Source organism: Homo sapiens, chromosome 10 (assembly GCF_000001405.40).
Source record: "Homo sapiens chromosome 10, GRCh38.p14 Primary Assembly".
NCBI lineage: Eukaryota > Metazoa > Chordata > Mammalia > Primates > Hominidae > Homo > Homo sapiens.
Window position 1 is genome coordinate 22,532,420 of NC_000010.11, and position 25,629 is coordinate 22,558,048.

The 25,629-nt window shown below is 44.1% G+C and overlaps 2 protein-coding genes across 7 annotated transcripts in view, besides 1 other annotated feature; both read right to left on the reverse strand.

Moving 5' to 3' along the window:
• Nucleotides 1-2,434: 2,434 nt before the first annotated feature.
• PIP4K2A (phosphatidylinositol-5-phosphate 4-kinase type 2 alpha) overlaps nucleotides 2,435-25,629 on the reverse strand; it is a 179,725-nt gene continuing 156,530 nt past the window's right edge. For all 6 annotated transcript variants that reach the window (XM_006717450.3, NM_005028.5, NM_001330062.2 and 3 more), the window contains 4 exons: nucleotides 18,240-18,353; nucleotides 9,385-9,628; nucleotides 7,552-7,655; nucleotides 2,435-4,862 (listed from right to left, as the gene is read on the reverse strand). In XM_006717450.3, coding sequence (XP_006717513.1) covers nucleotides 4,782-4,862; nucleotides 7,552-7,655; nucleotides 9,385-9,628; nucleotides 18,240-18,353 — 543 coding nt within the window. In that variant the 3' untranslated portion in view covers nucleotides 2,435-4,781. The remainder of the gene's footprint in view (nucleotides 4,863-7,551; nucleotides 7,656-9,384; nucleotides 9,629-18,239; nucleotides 18,354-25,629) is intronic.
• Nucleotides 11,063-11,694: an enhancer, noted in NCBI's record as "H3K27ac hESC enhancer chr10:22832411-22833042 (GRCh37/hg19 assembly coordinates)". NCBI's record gives its function as "activates a minimal SCP1, AML or CMV promoter by ChIP-STARR-seq in primed H9 embryonic stem cells {active_cell/tissue: H9 hESC(primed)}" and the evidence as "EXISTENCE:reporter gene assay evidence [ECO:0000049][PMID:30033119]".
• On the reverse strand, nucleotides 22,078-22,876 carry LOC124902393 (uncharacterized). Its single transcript, XM_047426113.1, has one exon. It carries the CDS (start codon nucleotides 22,779-22,781, stop codon nucleotides 22,164-22,166), a length of 618 nt encoding a protein of 205 aa, XP_047282069.1. The 5' UTR covers nucleotides 22,782-22,876; the 3' UTR covers nucleotides 22,078-22,163.

The following is a 25,629-nucleotide window of genomic DNA, read 5'->3' on the forward strand; positions in this document are numbered from 1 at the left end:
TGCCTCAGCCTCCCCAGTAGCTGGGATTACAGGTACCTGCCACCGTGCCCAGCTAATTTTTGTATTTTTTAGTAGAGACAGGGTTTTGCCATGTTGGCCAGGCTGGTCTCAAACTCCTGACCTCAGGTGATCCACCCGCCTTGGCCTCCCAAAGTGCTGGGATTATAGGCATGAGCCACCAAGCCCGGCCTATGAAATAATTTTCAATGACCACTCTAGGTTAAATTAGCAACTGTAATTTTCCCGGGTCACTTCATTGGTCTTCTGGGCTACTTTACTATGACTGCCCCTTCAATTTGCCAACTGTTTATAAAGATACCAGCTCAGAATAATGAAAATATGGAGTGAAGGCAGGCTGGCCAGAGGCTCCATGAGGCGATGCAGGTGACTCTACGGGAGAGGAATTCACTATCTATTTAATTATTATTATTTTTTTAAAAGACAAGTTCGCCCAGGCTGGAGTACAGTGGTGTGATTATAGCTCACTGCAGCCTCAAACTCCTAGGCTCAATTAGATCCTCCTGCCTCAGCGTCCTGAGTAGCTGGGACTACAGGTATGCACCATCACATTCAGCTAATTTTTTAAAATTTTAATTGTTATTTTTTTTTAGCAACAGGATCTCTCTAGGTTGCCCAGGCTGGTCTCAAACTCCTGGCCTCAAGTGATCCCCCTGCAGGTATGAGCCAGTGTGCCCAGCCTAGCATAGGAATTCAAAAGACATGGCAGAGTTTCTGCCCTTTAGGAAGAATGACTTCTATGTTTTTAATATAGCAATCTATATTAATTTTTATGCTTTTAATATATCTATATTATAGGAAGGAATGGGGGCCAGTTATTTTCAGAGCTCGAAGAAAGATGCACGTGTACAACAGTCACTCCAATCACTGATTTTGTGCTATTTAAAAATTCCAAGAAAGGTTGTGTGCAGCGGTCCTGAGTCTTTGTTCAGCCTCTCGGCCTGTGTACATTTGCACACTATATACATCACCATTTCACAACATATAGTTTGTAATCTCTTGCACTTAACTCTTAACCACTGTTTTTAAAAGTGTTGTGCTCAGGATTAATGCTTCATACCAACTTTTGCCCTTCCATGAATTAGAAATAACCTTCTGGAACTATTGTGGATTCTAATCCAGGAACTTAACCAAAATGAAGGGAAAATGAATGTCCACATTCAAACAGTCCACAAAGAACATTGAATTAAAGCTCCCTGCTGACCACAGTCAATTCTACAATAATGCAACATGTATGTTCCTAGAAATCACTGCTTTAGGCAAAGCTGCACAATGGAAATCACAGAACTTCTGGGAAAAATGAAACTAGGGCCACAACATCCCAAAATGTAATGAGTCACACACTGAAAAGAAAAAGAAATCTAATAAAAACAGTAGCACAATTATAAAAACGCTAACTGGTTAGGAAATATTCAAAATATAAAAACAGGGCAAGTTACCTTGAAAAAGATGTAAGGCACGCCTGTGGTTGTGGGCATCAGAAGGATGGCAGCTCTTGGGTTATTGTAAAGAGGAGAAAGGTGATCTGATGTCAGGTGGAAACGTGTAACTCCAGATATGAACGAGTGTAACAAATCACATGCACTGAAGTGAGGTGCTGGAGATGTTTGAAGTGTCGGTGTGTTGTGTTTCCCTATGCAGCTCAGTTGAGTGCAGTTCTCTGCATTCACCTAATGTTCCTTGCAGACCAAACGGCACACAAGCAATGTGACAAGTGCATTATGCTCAAATTATTCTCTAATATGGTGGTCCCCAATCTTTTTGGTGCCAGGGGCTGGTTTTGTGGAAGACAGTTTTTCCACGGACTGGCAGGGGGCTGAGGAGATGGTTTTAGGAAGAAACTGTTCCACCTCAGATCATCAGACATTAGTTAGATTCACATAAAGAGTGCTCAACCTAGATTCCTCCCATGTGCAGTTCACAATAGGGTTCGCGCTCCTATGAGAATCTAATGCTGCTGCTGATCTGAAAGAGGCGGGGCATAGGCGGTAATGCTGGCCAGCTGCTCACCTCCTGCTGTGCAGCCAGGTTCCTAACAGGCCATGGACTAGTACCGGTCCGTGGCCCGGGGTTTGGGGACCCCTGCTATAATACATCAGTTGCATTAGAAGAAAAATGAGTTATCAGAGCAAGTGCTATAGACAAGCTGTCTGTGTTAACCTGGCACCAAGTGGAATGCCGTTAAGTCTGCTATCCATCAATGGTATCCCAAGGAAGTTTCAAAAAATGGTGATACACATAGAATTAAGGTGTATCAAAGCTAAAAACAAAACATATGACTTTATAGGATGTTCATGGAAGAGATTCTTTTCCTCTACTTGTTCATCTTGCGGCAAAGTCAATTGTGTTGTGGAAGTTTGTTATTACTGATAAAATAATTCCCAAACTGAAGGCAAGGCTCTAGAAACTAAAAAGATTCAATTCCACTTTCATTTCTTCAAGGATTAGCTAAAGACACTGTCAGGACCGAGTATTTAAAATGTGTTTGGAACAGAGACACACAATTGGGACAGAGGAAAAAAGGATTCATCTTGTGAGTCATCAAAAGTGCTTTATTTGTAAAGCCCGGCTCATGACTGGAGTGTATTGTTAGCACTAGGAGATAACAGGGCAAACGTCCTCACTCTGTCCAAATGGTTTATCAACAGAAATAAATGACAGACTGTTTGTTATAGACAAAAATAAAAGCATTCTGTAAACTTCTAAAAGCATACACAGATTGGCCCCCAAGGAAACAGTTACTCAAATAATGTATGTGTACCTTATCTTTACTTCAGGGTCTCATGGTTGTGGTCTTGGGTCAAACCACAGTAGAACTTCACAACACAAAAACTGATCTGATGCCAGAATTAATGGTGCAGGGAAAAACCAAATCATAGTATGGATTACTTTAAATACATAAAAGATGAATCTGTACACTACGTGACAGTGGTGTTAACACTGGCTGCTGAGGATACCAAATCTACATAAAATGAGTGGACAGTATACGGAGGGCACGACTGCTGGCTTCCAAAGACTCTGTGAACTAGATCCACATACACGGGGCACAGCTGCAATCTGGACAGCCCTGAAGTAAAGTTCCTGGAAAAGGCAGTACGGCAGGGAGATCTGTTGAGTTGCAAGTAATAATTAAAGGGTCGATTTTTGTTTGTTTGTTTTCTTTTCTGAAACTGCCCACAAAAATCATATCATGTTTTAAACAAGGAGTTTCAAAGGCATGGCTTTAGCGCAGCATGTAAGTGGATAACCTACTCTAAGCAAGACTAATATTTAAGCTCAATGCCTTTTGGAAAATGCAGGAGAGTTGGTAGATACATGATCTAGGTTGGAAATTTATAACTTGATTAAAAACAATCAGCACAGTTTAGGGCAATGAACTTTCATAAACCAGACTGGGGCGAAATCTCTTTTTAAAAAAATCAATCATTAGGTTGATAAATGTACATTTGGAGGAAAAAAAAATCCTTTTCCTTTTATTGTGAAAGACTGTCTACCATGTACTTTGACTAAAACACTCACGTAAAAACATGGCTGCAGGATACGTCTCAAAATATGACAAACGTTATTTCACCTATACTGTGACTTTACATGTAAACTTCAAAAATCACATGCTGTACATCAAATTTTTAGATTCAAAAGATATCCCTGTTTTCCTAATAATGTAAACAGTAAAACTGAGGGTTTCAGTTAAAGGGATAATTCGTAACAAAATCCCATTGTTGAAACAATGGTCAAACATAAACATCTTATAATTCAGATCTGCATTTGGTAACAGGAGAATTGAGAGTTTTGATGCTTTGCTGGTTTTCCCACAGTGGGAGATGTAGATACCATTGCCCCAAACTATGCACTTTTCAGGTAAGCTTTACTTTTATTTTGTAGCATTAATTCCTATATTGCAACGTAAGGGTGAACAATGAAGGCTCCAGGCAAGAAAAGAGAAGTAAGCAGTTTTCCTGGACATATTGGCCGAGGTGAAAAATGTATAGAGAATCACTGGGGCATCAGCTGCTTGTTGCGGGAGGGGTGGGGGCTCTGGACACCAGGGGGTCCTGACAAGGCTGGGGCCAGAACCCTGAACCAGTACACACGGAGACGCCAGCATTCTTCCGTCCAGTGCTGGGGGCTCAGGTTATCAGTGTTAGGGAGAGTGTCTGCGTGCGGGGTAGAAATGGAACATTCGCTGTAGGTTTTTTCCTTGGAATCATCATCATTATTATAATAATCATCATTATTATCTTCATTATTCTGAATACTGTCTCACATCTTTCAACTCCAAAAAAAAAAAAAAAAAAAAAAAACTGATCCACAGTTTGTTGTGTGATGCCAACACGGTGCCTGACATCATGCACTTCCTTCTCCCCTCCCCCACACGTGTGTTCATTCACTCACTCACTCACTCACTCATTCATTCGGCCATAGCTGGAATCAAAGGGTCTTTGTTGGGACACATACTGACCGAAGTGGATCTGTTTTAATTAATTTATGACTTTTAAAATGCACACGCGCGCACACACTCACCCCCCCCCAACACACACACACACACATATACACAAAGTCAGAAATAGCTAGAACGATGCTGGGAAAATCAGGTAGCTGTAAAGCGAGTAGCCCCCAAATCAGTCATCTTGGCCTGAAGATGTAAACAAGGAGGTTTGCTTCCTGCAAGATGAGTACTTCACTGAGTTTGGTTTTCATTTTTCCTACACCGAAGCCACCTCTGTCCATCCAATGTTCATGTCTGTCCGAGGCTGCGCAGGAGGTTACGTCAAGATGTGGCCAATAAAGTCCAAAAAGCGCTTTGAATACTGTTCTGGGTTCACGGTGGAGATCTCCGCGCCAGCCTGGGCAGTTTTTAAAAAAGGAAATATTGACATAGTGTTTATGATTTCCCCAAATTATTACTCAATATCTACAGCTATTTCCAATGGCAACTGAATATACAGCAAGCAATTTTCAAATCCATGCAGTCTCTGCTCTGAAAAACATCACTCAAAATATCTTGGCGCTCATGGTTGAATAAGCAAGGTTCTTACAAATCTGTGTCTGCAAATGAGACAAAGGGCGACAGGAGCACCAGATGCTACCACACACACCGGGGCTGTTGCAACTCACAAAAAAATCAAACAGGCCACGTTTGGGATGTTACTATCAAAGAGTGGAATTGTTCAGAAGTCACGGAAACAATACTTATGTTATACTTTTCAAGAAGGCAGACTGGAGCCACCTTGAGAATGACATCAACATTTGGCGAAAGGGAAACCTTAATGACGATGACTTAAAACCGCATGATTTCTTCAGGACCCCTTCGTTTCTGGACAGAGGCCCCCAGCTCAGTGCTCAAACATGAGGGGCAACAGCAGCAGCCACAGGTTCTGGGACAGCTGCCCCCAGCCCATTCCCTGCACCGTAACCAGGTGAGGCACAACACTGCTGGCTCCATCTTGCCCACGGGGGAAGGAGCTGACTTCCCTCTGCAGCAGCACACAGGGGTGCCACTGTTCCCCTTTCTGAGCCCTGCAGAGAGCAAGCAAGCCTGGCCCCCTGCAGAAGCACGGTGAGGGATTTTTCCATGATGAGATGCAGGGTGCAGGCCAGCACACTCAAGGGAGTCACTCACTGGCCAGTTTCCTGAGCTGCAAAGGGCAAGCACGGAGTTTTGCTAAGTGAGCATGTGCTGTTTTTAGACACCCATGTTCACCGGGGAACTTGTAATATTTCCAGGCCTCGGCTGCATGGAGGAGCCCAGGCTTGAATGCAGAGAGAATGGTCCCCCACAGCAGCTTAACACAGCGTTCCTTTGCTGACAGTAATGTTTTCTTCTTGCAAACTACCTGTGATTTTATGCCGTGTGGCACACTATGGAGGCGAACTTGTGGCTTATGGGGAGATGAACATGGAGCCATATTGGCTAGGATAGGAGAGATGAACATGGAGCCATATTGGCTAGGATACACTCCAATTTCACAGGATGTATAATATGGGAACAGACATTTACAAAGCATTTGTCCAGACAACTCTTGTATCTCTGGCAAAACCCCATCAGCAAGGCAGTAGGATTTCTGTATGAGGTGAAAAAACAGGAGCTCCAAAAGTGTCCCCTTGAGGTCATACAAGTGGGAAGGGTCAAACGAGGATTCCTCGCCAGTTCTCTCTTTGCCACACTCCATGGTTTTCAACCAGAGGTGAGCATCAGAATGACCATGGAGTCTTCTGAAGACCCCTCCCTCACCCTCCTGAACTGGCCTCAGAAATGACGGAATGGGGGTGGTGCACCTGGTGCGGATGTTTGTTTAAAAAGAGTACTCAAAAATTTCTGTTGGGGGGAAGCCACCAGGCACACTTGCTTACTGACGTGCTCGGGGGCGGTGAGGTCCCAGTCTGTGCTCTGCACACAGCAGGAATACCATAGCTATCGACAATGTGACTGAAATATTTCTTTGGCAAATAGAATACTGTGTTTGTTAGGCTGATTTCTATTTTAAAATAGAAAAGAAGAGGTTTCAAGTGAGTTTTTGGTTCTGGTGAATCTTCATTAGTTCTACACAGTCTGTGGGAAGCACCTCTTCTTCCAGGGCCAACAAACCAGGGAATACATTCATCTGTGTGGGGTGGGCTCTATGGCTTTCAGGACCTCTGCAAAACAAAGATGGCACCCTGCAATACAAGCCTGAAACTTGGCGAGCTGTAAAGTTCAGCCAGGCAGGAGGTGTTTGCAGGCAGGGCAAGGGGATGAGCATGAACACAGAGCCAGGAGGGGGCTGGGTCCGGGGGAGGAATCTCATCTCTGCCACTTGCTACTATGAGGCCCTGGCAAGTTACTCCTGAAGCTATTTTCCTCAGTTTCTCCAACTGACAAAAGCAGGTACACTACTATCTCTTTCATAGGCTTCTCATGGGGGATAAAATAGCTTAACATATGGCTAGAGCAGTGAAAACTCCCATCAAGCAACATTAACGGTGAGTAATATTATGCAACTTTGATTTTGCACTCAAGAGATTTCTGTAGTAGAAAAAATACAACTCACTGTGAGAAAAGAAATATTAATCCTGTATACTTGGGAAGTGTCTTAAGCAGACAATCATGCTTCAGTTTTGAATATTTCATATTAGAACACTTCATTATCTTCTTTTGCACTTTTATCTCTGGAACATTTTTCAAACAAAAAAGAATTTGTGTAACATCCTAGTGATGCGCATGCCTGTTAGTGTCCGCCATGTGTAAAAAGAAGAGATGTTCATGTTTAAGTGACTTCGCTGGAAGCCACAGGGAGCTGTGGTAAGAGCAGCAGTGAGCAGTAAGCGTTTGTGGGTTCTGTATCTTACGCTCAGAACATGACTTGCCCCCAGGGAACAAGCGTCACTAAAGGGCTTTGAATGGCTCAGTAGAAAGCAGCTCAGTGGCAGAAAGGAGTGATCCCTGAGTTACAGGTCACACAGAGGAGCCAGGAGAGAGAGAGAGAGAGAGAGAGAGGGAGAGAGAGAGAGAGAGAGGGAGAGAAAGAGAGAAGGAAACAAAATGGAGATACTCACGCCATGTTTAACAGTTTTTGCAGCATGGGCAGCTTTCTTTTTTGCATCATAATGAGTAAGGATGTCAATAATTGCCATGAAGTACACCTCCTTCCTAGGCGAGTCTGCAGAGACAGGAGAGCAATGACTGTGGGACATGTGACAACACCAGTGCCAGCATTGCTGCTGAGGGAGGGAGGGAGGGAGAAGTGAGCCTGGAGGGAGGGGATTCAATGGAACGCGGATGGAAGGAGTCCAGAGACAAACTCTACACCACCCCTGCGGATCCTGACTAAACACACAGCTTGCCTCTCTGACCCAGTCCCCCTGCAATTTAAAAAGAAACAACCCTAACAACTAAAAACATCATCACACCAGGGTATCAACAGTGGAGATCCAACGGTGGAACGGAGTCTTTTTTTTTTTTTAATTTGCATTTTCTTTAATAATTGTGTATTGCTTTGGTGTGAAGAAATATGCTATTTAAAAATACCCTATAAAACAGAACTAATTATGTACACTAATCCTTTACATCAAATGGTAGAACTGTTCATAATTCTCACTGGATACAGTATCAGAACTGGATAAAGGCATACATCCACTCCAATGTCTATTTTCTTTTTTTGAGACAGAGTTTTGTTCTTGTTGCCCAGGCTGGAGTGCAATGGTGCGATCTTGGCTCACAGCAACCTCCACCTCCCGAGTTCAAGTGACTCCTGCCTCAGCCTGCCGAGTAGCCGGGATTACAGGCATGCATCACTATGCCCAGCTAATTTCATATTTTTAGTAGAGATGGGGTTTCTCCATGTAGGTCAGGCTGGTCTCAAACTCATGACCTCAGGTGATCTGCCTGCCGCGGCCTCCCAAAGTGCTGGGATTACAGGCATGAACCACTGCGCCCGGCCCGTGTCTGTTTTCTATCCATTTCCAAAAATATGAACAGTAAGAAAAGTACATTTGACTATCTAATTTTCTGTGTTGAAGAAAACATTTTGGTGAGCAAAACAGAACAAAACAGAACTCAGATCCTCAGCTGATATGCCATTTGAGATTAAAAAACAACTGATGAGCCACAGTTTTTATTATTCAAAAACCAAGAAGCTGTTTTTATCCTATCACAAAAATATTTTGGTATTGTCACGGATAAGTTGCTAAGGTAGGATGTAATATTCAAATAACTGGTGCACCCAATCACCTGGATACGGTGGATTAAGATTTATCTGACTCTAGGGAAGAGGGCCATAGGCCCTTCCATGGGGGAGGACAGCAGAGCCAGACTCAGCAGCAAATCAGATTCCCACCCCACCCACAGGGCCCATCTTCACACACCCTTCACACCCCTGAGAGGGAGAGGGCTGTTGGTAATGACAAGAGGACAAGCTAAGGGTCACAGAGGATCACATGCATGTGCCTAGCTTAGACTCATGATGCTTTTGACTTAGATAAAAAAGATAACTAGGCAAAAACGTATTAATATTTTAAAGCATTTCTGATGTTATTTGTGAACATGTATGTGTGCATATGTACATGCATGTTGTGTTGTGTGTGCACGTACGTTGTATGCCAGTGTGTATGTGCATATGTACAGGTGTGTTGTACATGTATAGTATAGTTCGTGGTTTTGCTGTATTCCCTCAACATCACAGAATTCAAAGGTCCGATCGCCTTATGTTTCAGCACTGAGATCACGGTTAGCTTTAACATACTCTTGTCCCCAAATCCATTTCTTTGGAGTTTGGAGGATGAGTGCTGCCGGGCAGCACCCTCATAACTGGGGTAGTGCTTACTGGTAGATAACAAGGCCAAAGTCAAACCACTTCACATGCAAAAAGGGTCCACAGTAATCAAACTTACTTTCATGGCACTTAATTCCATAGACGTCGATGTTCGGATCGAACTCCCCGGGAGCCAGGGGTGGTGAGCTGTTCAGTGTATTCCCGGGGCTATCTGGGGGGGTTCCCACCGGGTGGGTGCCATCGCTCTCGCCCTCCTCCTCCCCATCGTTCTCCTCACACTCCACTTCCTCCTGTTCGGCTCTCTCCACATCATGAATTCCCACCAGCAGACTGTAGTCCATGAGCTTCAGCTGGGCCAGAAACTGGGGACAGAGGCAACAGGGTGAGTCAGCCACACCTTAAACATAAAAGCCAACATTTAAAGGAGACAAGCTCGGGTGACACCCAGAGGGAAGGCTGTGGGGTGGGGCAGCAGAGGCGCCGGGTGCCTCCTTCACGATGCTCTTACACTCCTGGGCTGTTTCTCTATCTAAAATGTAGCCTCACACTTCAGGCTGGCTCAGAGCTCAGGCTGTTTACCCTGGAATGCCACACTGGATGCGGAGAGGTGTGTATCTATCACAGGGTGGCTGGATTTCACCAGATAGCAAGGAGCATGACCAGTAAGAGATGCGGAGAGAGACTGGGAGAGAGAGCAAGTTCCTCCCAATGATTAAGACTGGCTAATGGGGAAACCCAGGCATCTCCCAAGTAGCTTCCAGCGGAGTCTCTGGTGGTAGTTCAGGAAAGCACCCTGGAATTCAGCATGCTCTGTGGAGGCGATTGTTACGCTGTTGTAAATAAGTAAAAGTAAAGGCACTGTGTCCACATCTGGTGAGTAATGCAGTCCTGTCCAGGTCAACAAGGTGCTTTCCACGTGTGCTTTCCACGAAGCACCACACATCCAGGATTCCTGTCCTCCCTCTCCTCCTCCAGCCGTGGCTAGAACATAATGTGGGGGCAAGACCCAGCTCTGTGTGTTTGGCTACTCCTGTCTGCCCAGTTCTTTGACTTTTCAGATCACGATTTCTCTTTGTTTCCCTTTTCTTATTTGAGACCTTCAGCACAACGTTCCAATGTTGCCATAAGATGTGGATGGTTGTGCTGAGTGCAAACAGTGGCAGCCCATCTGCGGGCTGGACCCAACTGGCTCCCTGACCCCGTGGCTGGCTGGCTCTGCACAGGATCCTGTTCCACTCCGACCTTGGGCTCAGGGTCCAGGAAGGTTCACGGTCCTGGCTCTGGAAGGACTCAGTGCCACCTCGCTGGGGAATGCAGAGTGGCTGAGCAGCCTCTGGGCTATGCTGATAGAATTTAGGAAGCAGATGTCCTCATGCAAAGGGCAAACAGATAAAATCACAGGTCTTGAAGTTCTGGCTAAAAATGAAATCAATTTGCTAAGCCCCGCAGAGTCATTTCTCCTCAGCCTGCTGGGAAGGAGTTCTGTCTCGAAACTGAATGAGAAGCCCCGATTCCTTACAGACGAGGAGAGGACCCCTGGGCACAGGGCTATCCCACTCTCCAGCTGGTTCCTGGTGCCTGCAATTCTCCATCAGCCAGCACCCCGCTCAGCCCAGCAAACTGGCCAGAGCTCCCACTTCGCTGCCTTCCCAACAGGAATCCCCCAGGGCCAGCTATATCTTCCCCAATTGTTTTGAGCTCAAAAAAGAGAAATCACACAAATCTTACACTCAAATATTTAAGCAAAGTGGGAGAAACCTGTTTGTTTAAAAATAGAGGCAAACCCCTCGTGGAAACAGCATGGGGCTCCTGCGTTCAGCTTTCTGGGTCCCAGAGAAGAGGGGAAGCCACTGCTCATCCCCCCTGGTCTTTCCCCAAACTCCCCCATTACAGTAAACATGAGAACTGACTTTCCACTTGCACCTCTCTCTGCCAGATTCCTTTCCAGCAGTCAGAGACTGCGCATCCTCCCCTAGAATCTCGGCAGCTGCCAGGCTGTGAGGTGCACCTGGCCGAGATCACCTGGCTGGGATCATGTTTGTGGGGGCGGCTGCGGGGAGAAATCTACAGTGGTGGAAGGCTCACTTGAGTCCTCCACCCGCACGGTGAAGCCAGCCAGGGAGCTGGGTCTCGGGTACCAGCTCCGCTATACATGGGCCTGTGGATGTGGAAGAGAACTGGGCACTCCGGGGTATAGGGACAGGTGACAAGATCCAAGGCAGGGGGCAGGCTCTCCGTGTGAGACAGCAGCCAGGCTCAGCAGCTGGACGAGAGTGCAAGGATTCAGATCCAAGGAGGGGTGAATTCAGGGCCTGTTCTGAGCCTGTACTCTCTGCTCTCTATCAGCTACCTCTGGAGGCTGCCTTAAAGCAGCTTTCCCCTCTCCTTTTCTTCGCAACCCTAGGAGGAAGGTAACGAGTTAAAATCAGCTGGCATCGGAGGCCCTCCACACATGACTCTGCGCTGTGGGTCTCCGGAGGGTTAGGTGGCCAGCAGCAGCACACATGGCACTGCTGTGATCATGGAACCTGCTTTCCCGTCAGAATGACCTGTGGGCCTGGGGTTTCAGAAGCCTATTTGAAAAATACTGCATTGTAAGTACCCAGTTGTCTTCTCCAATGCTTGAGGGGTATGGTGGGGGTGGGGGTGCTTATGGTGGGCCCACTTCTCCCTGCCCTGTTGTTCCAAGGCCTCTGGGCTGCTGGAGGACTGGGTCAGGGTCTCCTTGGCCACCTCTGCTGCCCCTCCCAAGCCTAGCACGGTGCCTGGCTCTGCTCCCTAGATCTACGGCTTCCCTGGCCTCTCTCTCTACACCTGGAAGCCTCTCTGGAGCCAGGCCAGGCCCTGCTCGGCTTGAGAGGTGACAGGGAAAAGGCCCCCCTTCTGCCCACACCTGCTCCCTCTGGGTGCTTGGAAGGTCCCTGTGAAGTGGTAAAGGCTGAGTGGTGCCTCAACCACCCCTCCAGTCCTCTGCAAAGGGCAGAAGTTTTCAAAATGTGAACCTGATCCCATCCTGTTCTGCTTAACACATTTCCATAGTGCCGCGTTTCTCACAGGGCACAAACAAAACTCACATGGCCCAGGAGGCCTGGAGAGCTTGGCCCCATCCACTTCTGGGGCCCACTTGAGCTCTGCTCTGCCCACTTCCTGGGCTTCTCTGGGGGCAGGTACTTCCTCCTGTGCCTTCAGGTCTCAGCTGCGGGGCACTGCACAGGGCAGCACAGCCCCAGAGTCTGGGTGTTTAGGGCACCGCACACTCCTCCCCAGTGACACGGGGCCTCGCTGCACATTCATTTTGTTGGAGTATTTGAGCGACTTCTCTCTTTCCCAAGCAAGGCAGCCCCAAACGGGGCTCTAAGGTTTTGGCTTTCACTGCATTCCCGAATCCCGGCAGGCAGAGGGCTCGGGAAAGTATTCGGCACTTGTTGGACAAGTGAATGGGATGCTTGTTACTTCTTCCCTATCCGTCCCAACTCTCCCTAATTCTCCCCAACCTGCTTCCAGCAGGAAGTAACTACCAAAGCCAAATACAAACAACAAAGCAACAACAGAAAACTTTTGTCTGAGACTGCATGAGGCAACAGCTCTGCAAAGGAAGCGCAAGGTGACCATTTAAGACGATTACCTTAACAGGAAGGTCTACTGGTTGACCTTCAAGTATGTTTTAGTTACAGAAGTCAGGGCTGTCTGTGATTAACTTGCCAAAGGGCAGAGAGGGAAGGGGACAACTGGGACTGGCCAGCCGCACTCACCAGGGTGAGCCTCCAGGGCCCAGCCTCCCCTGGCACCCCATCTGGGTTCCTCGCCACACCGGGCAGCCCAGAGTAATTTTCCTGGGCCTCAGGCCTGTGGTCAGACCGCTTACTGTCGTCTTCCAGTGAGGAAGAAATAAAGGTGCAGTCAACTCCTAGCACAACCCAAAAACCATCAGCATGATGCAAAATGCATCTCTAGGTAAGAAGCTGTTCTGAGGCACCCAAGAAGACTGAGAAAATTGCAGTCACAATGGGCATTGCACATGTTTTCTTTTTGTTTAAGAGATGGGATCTTGCTCTGTTGCCCAGGCTGGAGTACAGTGGTATGATCACAGATCACTGTAGCCTTGAACTCCTGGGCTCAAGCAATCCTCCTGCCTCACCCTCCCGAGGAGCTGGATTACAGAGGTGCACCACCATGCCCAGCTAATTATTTTTTATTTTGTGTGGAGACAGGATCTTGCTGTGTTGTCCAGGCTGGTCTCAAACACCTGGCCTCAAGTGATCCTCCTGCCTTGGCCTCCCAAACTGCTGGGATTATTATTCATGATTTCAAGTCTCTGAGACTGAGGTAGAAATGGGAAAAACCAAATATGGCACAGTGGTTAAAAGGACAGGTCATGCTGACCAGGGAGACCCATTCAAGAAACAAAGAGTCTGATTTGGTCTCACTCGCCAGTTCCATGCTTGACGAGTTCGCCTCCTGGATCTTCAGTCATTCTGACTTTAAAATTGGACAATGCCACTCACCTCACAGGGGTGTCGAAGAATTAAGATAATGAAACTGAGAGAAAAAATATGGTGCCTCACACAAAATAATGGAAGCTGTTATTTGTAACTGGCAATGTTTTGATTATGGTAGAAGTCTTTTTTTAATATCAAGATTTCAATTTAAACAGGTTTCAGTTTGTAGACCGGGGGAAAAAGAACCATATGGAAAAGCCTGTTAATTCACGGGCTCTCATCTTCAAAACGTTAAATTTCTTTTTGAGACAGGGTCTGGCTCTGTCACCCAGGCTGGAGTGCAGTGGTGTGATCATGGCTCACTGAAGCCTCAAACTCTTGGACTCAAGGGATCCTCCTGCTTCAGCTTCCCTAGTAGCTAGGACCACAGGCATGCACCACCACGTTTGGCTAATTTTTAAAACTTTGTAGAGATGGGGTCTCACTATGTTGCCCAGGCTGTTCTCAAACTCCTGGGCTTAATCAATCCTCCTGCCTCAGCCTCCCAAAGTGCTGGGATTACAGGCATGAGCCACCACAACAGGCCTCAAACTTTACTTTAAATCTGTTCTGAGGTAGAGTGAATGAAGTGTGGCAATACATCTGAGATTTTTCGTGGGCTGGAAGCTCGCAGATGGAAAGAGAAGACAGAAAGGGGGCGTGGGCTTCACTGCGGGGTCTGCTTCCGGCTCACTGCAGGAAAACAGTATATATTTGTTCTTTAAGTTTTAAGAACATAAGATTTCAAAGTGTGAAGATTTTTCAGTCTTTATTTAGGTCCCCTGCTTTTCTTCCTTTCCAGCTTCTCAGAAACCACCTGCTGGACCTCACATCTGCCTCTTTTTCCCTCAGAATATCCCTTCTCATCTAATTCCTTACTAATTGAGTCCTTGCTGTGACAAATCTTTGAGCTACAATCTTCCTTGAGATCTTTACGAGTCTAAGACTATCCTTCACAATGGTTCTCAACTGATTTATTTAACTCTACTAACACACCGTGTTCTACCACATCACCATCTCCCAACATATCTGTGAAGTAGAATTAAAATGCCAGTCAGCCCTGTTTAACGGTTATATCTTACCACTTGTTAAAAATTATAATCCTCCTTCGAAGCAATTATCAGAAAACAAAGCCTCCACTGTGCTCTCACAGGTATTTTTAACTTGTGTTTATGTCAGAGTAGTTAAGGACTGTGCCCTCTGAGGGCCTGACGCCCCAGTCTGAATTTAGAAGCTTTGTGCCTTTGAGCAAATTACATAGGGTCTCTGGGCTCGGCTTCCCCATTCATCAAACTAGGGTAGGGGCAGGACCACTGTCAAGGGGCTGTTTTGAGAATGACAAGTGACACTGCATGGGAAGGACTTGGGCTCGATGTGCTCCATAAATGCTGCCACCCATCCCACTACTCCCACCGCCCTATCCCCTCTCACCCATCTCCATGGATGGGGGGCTATAAACCTCAGACAACTGAAATGCCCTGTGAGGGGGTACTCCTGGATGCCACAGAGGGAGAACAGTTTTGCATCATGTGAGTCAATGAGAGGAGAGACCAGGGTTGATTCTTCAGGGCCGTGATCAGAATTGACAAAACACAGGGCAGAAGGCAAAAGTGCCTGTCACTCCTCATACACCGATCTGTGTGTGTGTTTGTGTGCAGAAAAAGACTCACCTGTGTTACGTGCAAAGCTATGTGGATGAAAATACCCAGCATGGCATAGGAATAGAACAGGGCTGCTGTTACAGAAAAACAGCAACTAGAACCTCAGATGAAAATTAGTTTTCCTAAAATCTAGATTTCTTGAGCTGTAATACACTCAGATCTCCTACTCGAGGCATTAAGGAAAAACAGCAACAACAACAAAAAACTGCAATGAAACTCCAATGGGTCAGTCAGCTAAATTAGAAAGCATGGAACTGATGAAAACAGAAAACTCGATTAAATTCTAGCCTCATTATCAAGATCAGATGTCAAGCTACTTCACCATAATTACCTGCTTAAAAATTTAATGATGGTTCTGCATAAATTTCAAAACTAAAGACACTGTTATCAGCTATTGAGAATATTTTTAAATGAAAGGATGTTTTACACCCTGCCTCCATTTCAACGAAACAGCTAAGTGCTTGAGCCATGTATGGGATTAGACTATAGAGTCCTCTAATCAATGGTATTATTAGAGACAACAAAAGAGCTAAGAGGATCCTTCTGTAATTCAACTGTAAATTTGAACTGCTTGAATTACATTATTTCTGGAGTCTAAATATCATAGTGATATACTGCCAACAGAAAAAAACCATTTTTTTAATAGGTCACAGATAACCCTAAGGGCTACTTACCATAATTGCTAAAACCATATTCTTCTCAGTATCAAGGATTTGCTGATTAATCAATAAAAATCCAAGAGTATGTTTACTAAGGATACTTATCAGTTGGATCAAACAGATCCCAAAGCAAGGGGGAAATGCTTAACTAATACATTTTATTAGTAACCACTCACAACTGAGGAAAACTAAACATTCCTTAATGAAAGACTGGAGGAAAATGTTAGAAGAGAAAAGCAAACACTTGTATCGTTTTGTTTGTTTGAAGTAGATGCTTACAGGCTAAGCACAGTGGCTCATGCCTGTAATCACAGCACTTTGGGAGGCTGAGGTGGGAGGATTGCTTGAGGCCAGGAGTTCAAGACCAGCCTGCGCAACAAAGCAAGACCCTAGTCTCTACAAAAAAAAAAAAATTCAAAAATTAGCCAGGCACCGTGGTGCATGCCTGTAGTCCCAGCTACTATGGAGGCTGAGGCGGGAGGACTGCCTGAGCTGGGAGTTCAAGGCTGCAGTGAGCTATGCTCATGCCACCCCACTCTAGCCAACACAGCAAGACTGTCTCTAAAAACAATGGCAACAAGAAAGTAGATACTTACACCCTTCACAAATAACCAATATATAGGTTCTAATCCAAGTATGTATACTATAAATAATCCAAGTATGTATACTATAAAGGTAAAATAATGTAAAAAATTTTATTAAACTAATTTATGATCTAAAAATATTAACTACTAATAACTTGGTCAGTGTGAGTTTCTTGTAATAAAAAGAACTGTTAGAAGATTAAAAATAAATTATACTGCTTCCGCCTTCATGGGAAATACAAATGTATGACACTCATTCTGTGGCTTTCGTCATTTTCTTTTTCTTTTTTTTTTTTTGGTTTAATGACATAAAAAGACAATCTTCCCACAAAGCCTCTCTCTAAGTAGCAGATCCGTACTGGTGTGCCATGAAGTGTACACAAATGAATGAAAGCAACAGCTAAGAAAAGCTGAGTTTAGTAGCTGCCTAAATTCTAATTCCCACTGCATTGTTTTGTAACTCAACGAAGTCCAAGAAAATAACCTTTTTTTGGCCGGGCTTGGTGGCTGACGCCTGTAATCCCAGCACTTTGGGAGGCAGAGGCGGGTGGATCACGAGGTCAGGAGATCAAGATCATCCTGGCTAACACGGTGAAACCCCGTCTCTAATAAAAATACAAAAAATTAGCCAGGCGTGGTGGCGGGTGCCTGTAGTCCCAGCTACTCAGGAGGCTGAGGCGGGAGAATGGCGTGAACCTGGGAGGCAGAGCTTGCAGTGAGCCGAGATCGCGCCACTGCACTCCAGCCTAGAAGACAGTGAGAATCCATCTCAAAAAAAAAAAAAAAAAAAAAAAAAAAAAAAAAAAAGAAAGGAAAGAAAATAACCTTTTTTTCCTTTTTTCCTGGATTTATAAAAGACTTAAATAATGAGCAAATCCAATGGAAAAGCTGCAATGCCTTTATCATAAACTAAATGACAGGAAAAGGTACATTTTAAATGTTTAGAACAGTGTTTAAAAGCAAAACTCCATCATTATGGACGAAAGCCCCTTGGACACTGTTCTATGTCTCTCCACTGTCCCCTATGACCTAGTATCCCAAGCTGCCCCTGTGCTAGTCCCACAATGTGTAAGGGGGCCTCACTGGGCCTCATGACATGGTTTGTGGTGACTGGTGGAGATAGGAAAGCATTAAGTGACCCAGGCTATGTTAACCAGCACTGACTTGTGCTTTAGAGGGAAAAGTGCCAAGACTGTAATAGTGACTGAATATTTGTTTTTGAGATGCTCTGCTGGTTGACACAGAGTCCAGTACTCCCCTGGCCCCTCCCAAACTGGCTGGTGTGGGCAGGTCAGTCTTCATGGGCCATCCCAATACAGAATACAGGGGCCTGGGACCGGGGATTCCCAGCGGATGACAGCAGGTGCTTTCTTGTGTTTGGTGCCTAAATGAGAGGGCTGCTAAACTGGCATGCGTTTGCTTTAAACCAGATCATGTAACATGAGACACCTTCATGTCTGACTTCCCTAAGGTAGAGTATGCAGGTTTTTGCCTTGATTGAAGATTTAAATAGATGGTTTAAAAAGCTCCTAAAACCCAACAGGGCTGATATTTATACAATGAGTCTGGCCTCTCCACTGACTGTTCTTACCTCAACATCCTTTTTTAGTTTTTCCAGGAAGACCTTCTTGTTGTTGTCATCAATATAAATCTTTTGGCCCTCATTAATGAAATCATTATCTTTCAGAGTTGGCAGTTCTTTGGCCTAAAACAAATGAGAAAAACAATGACAAAGGCGCTTGAAGAAAACCTAAAAAAACCACATACACCTTCCAACCCTGGACACTGAAGTTTGCCCCTTTCACCGCCCCCACCCCGTTCACCACCACAGGGGTCTTACCCAAACAATAAAATAGGAGAAGGCTTGAATACCACCGGGGGGCGCCAGTGAGCCCCAATCTCTGGAAGCATTCGCAAGAGCAGTGGGGTGGGGGTCAGACAGACTCCATATCATAAGGCTTTTTGTAACACATTTCATGTTTTTCAGAGGAATGAACCTGACTGCTTTCTTAGACTCACTTTCTTACAAGAAGTCTTCTAAGTATAAAATTTGTATTCTTGGAATACTTTCCCAGGAACCCTCAATTTTCTTACAACCCAACTCCATCCCTCCTCCCACTTTTGGGGAGCCGTTGCTGGGCTCACATTGCAAATAACATGTTATCTTGTCTCAGAACAGCTCTATCCATAATCATATCTACTTTCTGCACCAGGGAGACATGCAGCACGAGGTTAGCCATCTGCCCTTCCAAGCCTTCCTGTTCACCACTCCAAGAAGGAAATTCTCTTCTCATTTGGACAATATCAAAGAAAAAGGGTCTTCTCTTAACATAAACGTATTAAGATCAGAGTTCTACCTTTTACAAATGAACGAGAGGGTGAGCTAATAAGTAAACTGCACTTATGGCAACCAACACAAAGCAATGAGCAACTATCAAAACATGGATCATGAGCAGAAAACACTGTAGCTTGTATTGCAGCAAACAGGATAATATAGGCATATAGTTTTAAAACAGTGTGGATTATTCTATTTAACTTTGTGCAACCTGCATTCAGTACGAGCTCAAAATAATCTCCCACCCCTTTCGGCTAACCATAGCTTGTTTATTTCAGCAGAAAGAAATCCAATGTCATGCACTGCCTTTGCCTGTATGTTGATGAACCTGGAATGGTCCTCTTTTCTGTAGGTGTGAACCAAATGTAAACAAAATAATCCAAGGAAACAAGCTGCTGTCCTTCCTGGCTCCGGCACTGTTCCTCCTCCCTCCTTATTCAGAGCAATGAAAGAACACTCCCTGGGTCCATCGCCTGCATCTTTCACATGCTCGAACTGTTCACTTCCCCTCCTATTTATAAAGTATAGACATGCATGTAAACAGTCACATCTATTTACAGCAACACATATGTACATAAATTATGCATTTCTAAATTAGTCGCTTTGGCTACTAACTTTGAGAAAATTTAAACAGTTTTGCAACTTTGAATTAGATATAACCACAATCTTTATAAGCCAAACAGAATTAATCCTTACAAAGCAGGTACAGCAAGGCCCAGAAATGTCAAGATTCAATTCAATCAGCAGTTACTGAGTGAGTCAAGTAGAGAGATGCAAATATGAATAGGTCACAATTTCTGCTGTAAAGGAGTTTGTAATCTCGTACGGGAGAATGATATGAAAGCACGTAGGTAGAAAATAAAGCAGGATGGGATGTGTATGTAAGATGTAAAGATAAATACTAAGATTCTAGGAAAGACTGATCTAATTCCAAACACTTTTATGCTGAGTTATTGAGTCTTTAAGAAATGAGAATGCAACGCCATTCTTCACAAAATGTCAGGATGCGCCTGCTAGACTTACCCCCTAAATCTGTCATTAATAATTTTAAAATAATGCAATACGTGCACCCCCCATTCCCACAAACCTTGAAATGTGAAGACAGCACAATATTAAAATGTTTGAGTTCATCACACTAGATTATAAGGTTTCTCTCCTATTAGAACTGTAAACATAATGAAGTTTCACCAAGAATGAAATGCAAGGTTCTGAAGTTTAACAAAACTCAGAGGGCAGTGAGAACATAAGCACTGCCCAAAACAGAAAATTGGAAGCACGTTAGAAAAAAGGGTTGAAGCCAGACCTACACACAAAAACAGGAGAGATGGAGAAGGATCGTAATTTTCCCAGCAGACACCTTGGGCATTTCTGTGTCATTATGTGTTGGCGATGGGAGGCGTGTGGGTGGGGGTGTTAAGGATATCTGCCTCAATTCCACAACCCATTTTATAAGTGTAAGAAAAGAAGGGTAGAGGGTGTTTTTTTCTGGTTTTGTATAAATGTGAGAAACCTGAAGGCAGAGATGACAGACCCCCGACAAGGCAGTAAATTACATGCTGGATGTGTGTTTGTAACACAAGTCACATTAATGAAGATGAATGCCACTTCAGGTTCACCCCAGCAGAATTACCTCATGTGACAGGGAAAGTATAATCCTACCTCATAAAACTCTGGACACCATGTACTCTATGACTAAGCTGACTTGTGAATTTCACAGGCACTAGGGTCGTATTTAGATTGGATCAAGCTCAAAAAAGGGCACCCAGATTGGCTAAAAGACTTAAGGGCTTACTGAAAGGATCAAGAGGCGAAGGCGGATCCTGGCAGGGCAGCTGCCAGCATGGAATCTAACACTGGCCTACAGATATCAACCTCCCAAATGCTTGCTGCAAGACAGAGTGCTCAGGGGCACGAAGGTTTTGGGGTCATGAATCCTGAGGTTGCAATCCTGGTTCCACCCCTTGCTTGCCAGGGACCAGGGGCCAGGTTCCTGGACCTCTCCAGCCTGTTTCCATAGATGCAGAAAGGGGAAAACACGCAGCAGCCTTAGGTAACCTGCTTAGCACTTTGTGTGCGTCATTTTATTCACATCTATCATCTATCTTCAGTCTTTGCAACAACCTTAACTATTATTCACGTTTTACATTCAAGGAAACTGAGATCATGCAATTTAACTAAGGTCTCAGAGTTTGGTGAGTGATGAGCTGAGATGGGAACCTTAATCATTCTGCTAAGGTAGAGTTGTGCTGGGAACTCAATCAGAAACCATGTGACAGATTCAAATAGTGGTGCTTATAATCCCCATCACCACCCCCATCGTCATCATCATCACTGTGAGCATTTAATAAAGCGCACAGACTTGAAATGGGTATTACAGGTTGAAAAACTTTTTTTTTTTTTTTTTTTTTTTTACAAAAACTTAACTGTTCTTTTTAAATTAAGAACAAGATAGGCTGGGCGTGGCGGCTCACACCTGCAATCTCAGCACTTTGGGACTCTGAGACAGGAGGTTCACTGGAGCCCAGAAGTTCGAGACCAGTCTGGCTAACATAGTGAGACTCCATCTCTACAAAAAAGTAATAAAACATATGAGATAACCGTGGTGGTGTGTGCCTCTCATCCCAGCTATTTGGGAGGCTGAGGTAGGAGGATCGCTTGAGCCCGGGAGGTCAAAGTTGCAGAGAGCCATGATCGCGCCACTGCACTCCAGCCTGGGTGACATAGTAAGACCCTACCTCAAAAACAAAAAGAAAAAAACGAGATGACAAAGGTTAAGTCACCTGACAATGATTCACTCTCAAGAAAATCTTACTACTTAGCTTTTTAAAAGAAATTTCAATATATCTCTCTGATAATGAGCAGTGCTTATATTAGAAACATCTTTTTTTTAAATGTGGAAAACTATACTATGATTTAATGAACTTAATAAACTCTTGGTGTAAAACTGCCTACAAAGATGACGTCTGCAGAGCAGCAGAAAATTAACTGTGGGCAGCGACAGCTTAATGTAGCAACAGATTCTACACTTTGCTTTTAAACACTGGATTATTTGCGCTTAGAGTTTTCCAAGCTTGTAGTCACTGGGTCTGGTTCTTTAATGAGTGTCTTTGATATCTTTTCTAGTTCAGTGCAGAAACAGCCAGAGGGTGGAAGAAACCCCCAGGGCTAACTAAAGACAGCTCAGAAATGCTTCTCAGCTGTGGACTCTCCGAGGCCGGCTTCCAGCCAGCGGTCAGCAACCTTTCTGAAGTGGCGGCGGGCCGAGTCTTTATTTGCGCTGAATTCAGCTCTGGCCAGTTTTGTGCAGATCAGAGCCTCTAAGTAAGGCGGGACGATTGCTGTACGACCCTCTGTACTTGCTGGGAGGGGACGAGGGTATGGGAGGGAACTGCTCTTCCCCACCCCGTCCTCCTCTGTGCGTCTAGTCCTGAGCTGGGATTCCTGCCCGGGTCGGGGGCCCCAGAGCTGCTCCAAGGCCCTGGCCAGCTGAGGCCCCGTGAGTAAATACAGCCCAACGCAGAGCCAGGCTAGCACAGGCAGGGCTGTTTTCTCTCTTGCATGAGGTAATCTGCTGCGGTGGGTTGGATTCCAAGTGGCATTCATCTCCGCTAATGTGACGTGTAAATGCACAAACACAGCCACAGGCATCAGCAGAGGGACGCCGTTCCCCCCGCAGCCTGGCTGTCCTGCTTCCCGTTCGGATAAAATGAGCCCTTCACTGTCATACGGAGTGATGCCCGACCCCAGGTCGACTAGGCATGGCTCAGCTTTCCACGTAGGAGACAAACTGAAGCCCATGGTTATGTGAACACACTAGATCCAGGCTGCCTGGGTTGTAGCTCCGCAACTCCAATTATTAGCTATGTGACTCTGGCAAGTTAAGTTACCTCTCTGTGACTTGGTTTCCCATCTTTAAAGGGGGATTTGCAAACATAGGGTTGTGAGGGTTGCATGAGTTCACACATGTAAAAAGGCCTAAAATGGTGCCTGCCACACAGTGTGTTATATACAAACGTCGTTATATGCTAATCATGTTCTCAAGTATGGCTTATGGATCTAGGAAAAGCGCATCGCTGATCAATCCAGAGCAAGATTTTTCTTTTAAAAAATATACTGACATATTTAACATTTTAACACTAGCTGTGATGTTCTGGGCCAGTTGCTTAGTCTGCCCAAACCTCAGTTTCCTTACTTATATAATGGGTAATTAATAATACTGTACCTATGTAATAGGGTTAGTGTGTAAATCAAATGACACAAAGCACATAGTGCCTGGCAATAGTAACTTGCTATGTCTATTTCTTCTAAAATAGGGTCTTTAAACTTAGGATACCTTCTAGTTGATACCTGGATAATTAAAAAAAAAAAACAATTTATGATGTCGGTAATCTAAACCTGGGGGTCCAATCTTTTAGCTTCCCTGGGCCACACTGGAAGAAGAATTGTCTTGGGCCACACATAGAATCAGTGAACACTAATGAGAGCTGATGAGCTTAAAAAAAAAAAAAAAATCACAAGAAAATCTCATCATGTTTTAAGAAAGTTTACGGATTTGTACTGGGCCACATTCAAAGCCGTCCTGGGCCCCATGCAGCCCGTGAGCGACAAGCTTTATTTAAACGATGTTTAAAATTTCCTTTGTTTTTAGGTTTTATCTGCTAGTTACAAACATGTCACATGAATTCTCTACATACTGTCTTCAAATTTGGAAGACACTTTTGTCACTGCACACTGCACACAAACCTACCATACATGAGGGCAAAGTTAGTATTTCATTTCACTACACAGGACCCACGGGGAACACAGAGGGCACATGAGACAGGATGCATCGAAGGTGACATGGCCCGAGGCGCCAACCTCCCTGTCGTGGCGGCTCTAGTTCCCTACACTGCTTTGCAAACCTCAATTGTGAATGCTACCAGCTAGAAAAACCTCTGTGATCACCTGCAAAAGCTATTCCTAGTAGGAAACCTCACTGAAAAGACCTTTTGTTTAAACTGAAACCCAAATGAGAGTAAAATGTCCCTATCTTATCATAAAAATTGGACTGGTTAAATTCCTGAAGTAATAAAGAATTTGAAATTTATGATCTTTATTCAATATATGGAATAAAATGTAATGATTTTACGTATCTGGCCAAAGACAGAAATTTGCTGACTTCTGTCTTACCTTAATTTTCCATGGGTTAGTTTTTTCTCAGCACATTATAATAGTGGATAATTTAGTGAATGCTGTTTTGCTGACCTAAAGCAAAAATCCACAGAAGCTGAAATCTTAGTAGCCAGAAAATATAACCAAAATACTAGGGAATGGTGAACTCACTCCTAGGGAGCAGTGAACCCACTGGGAACATTTAACTTGCTATGAGTTGTAAAAAGAAAATTTATTATAAACATTTGTGTATATATAATACATTTATTATAGACATTTCTCCCTCATTTTGCAAAGTTTTTGGCTTTTAAAGCACAGCATCACAGGCCTCAGCAAGTCTACTGTAAGTCAACAGTAAGAAACACACTGTGTGACAATACAGGTCATGGTCAAAAATAGTTTGTGTGTCATTAAGACACAACATGAATGTGCGAAGTGAGATGCACACTCAGCTGAGTCAGAGCCTGAAGATAACCAACACACGCGTAAGGCTTTCAGTGTATAAAAGCCTCTCAACGGAATTACTTACGCCCTAGGGTTCAATACAAGGTATCAATGATCTCTAAGGACAGATTTGGCCAGGGGGTTGGGATTAAAAAAGGGAAAACGTATCAGGACAGTTACAAAGTTCAGAGCCCTCATTTTTAGAATTTCTAAACACATGCCGCCTTTTAGCAGAGACCTGTGGTATAAAAATTACAGAATTCTATGAGAGCAAAGGAGATGCAGCACTGTTTGCTTCCCAGAACTGATAAAAAGGAGCTAAAAAGCAACACCTAAAAAATTCCTGCTTAATATTATTTAGTACTTTTATGCTTAAAAATTCCAAATGACTAAGAACTTTTGCAGAATCTCTAAAACCAAAACCAAAACAATGTGTTTACCAAAAGAGTTAAATGCTTTGTTTGTTTGAAGTGGGAATTAACTCACGTGTATGTGTACATATGTGCTTATTTCATGAGGTTCTGTAATTTGATGCATAACTGCTGTCATTCATATGGAGTTGAGCAATATTGGATATTCTAAGGTTTAGTAAAGCCAGAAGTTATATGAACATTTTATTTTAGTGAGATTTTAAAAAACTATCTTTCAGATGACACAAAATTTTTAAAAATCACAAATTTCAAACTATAGTTTGAAACATTAAACAGAATTCAAACTAAAATATCATTGGATTTTTAATGATCATTCTAAACTTTAATTATACAACAAGAGCCAACAGTATGGGTAAATGGCCATTAATAACTGGAAATAGAAAATACATGAACCTAAAATGCACAGAGCCAAAATCTTTATAATATAGAGCCAAGTTTTTATTTTAGTCTGGATGGAAACTTTACTGGGAAGAAGAAATGCACCCAGTCACACTTGAGTGTCTAATGCAAACAGGATTTTGGCACTAGGTTTTAATGCAAAGGATAATACATATCATAGTACTCTGTGATTAAAGGACTTGTATTTCGGAATGAATTTTTTGTTTGATATGCTCATTTGG

Excerpts from the sequence above, each read along its gene's own strand:
- LOC124902393 (XM_047426113.1), bottom strand. The coding sequence starts at position 22,781 with ATGGGCTTCAGTTTGTCTCCTACGTGGAAAGCTGAGCCATGCCTAGTC.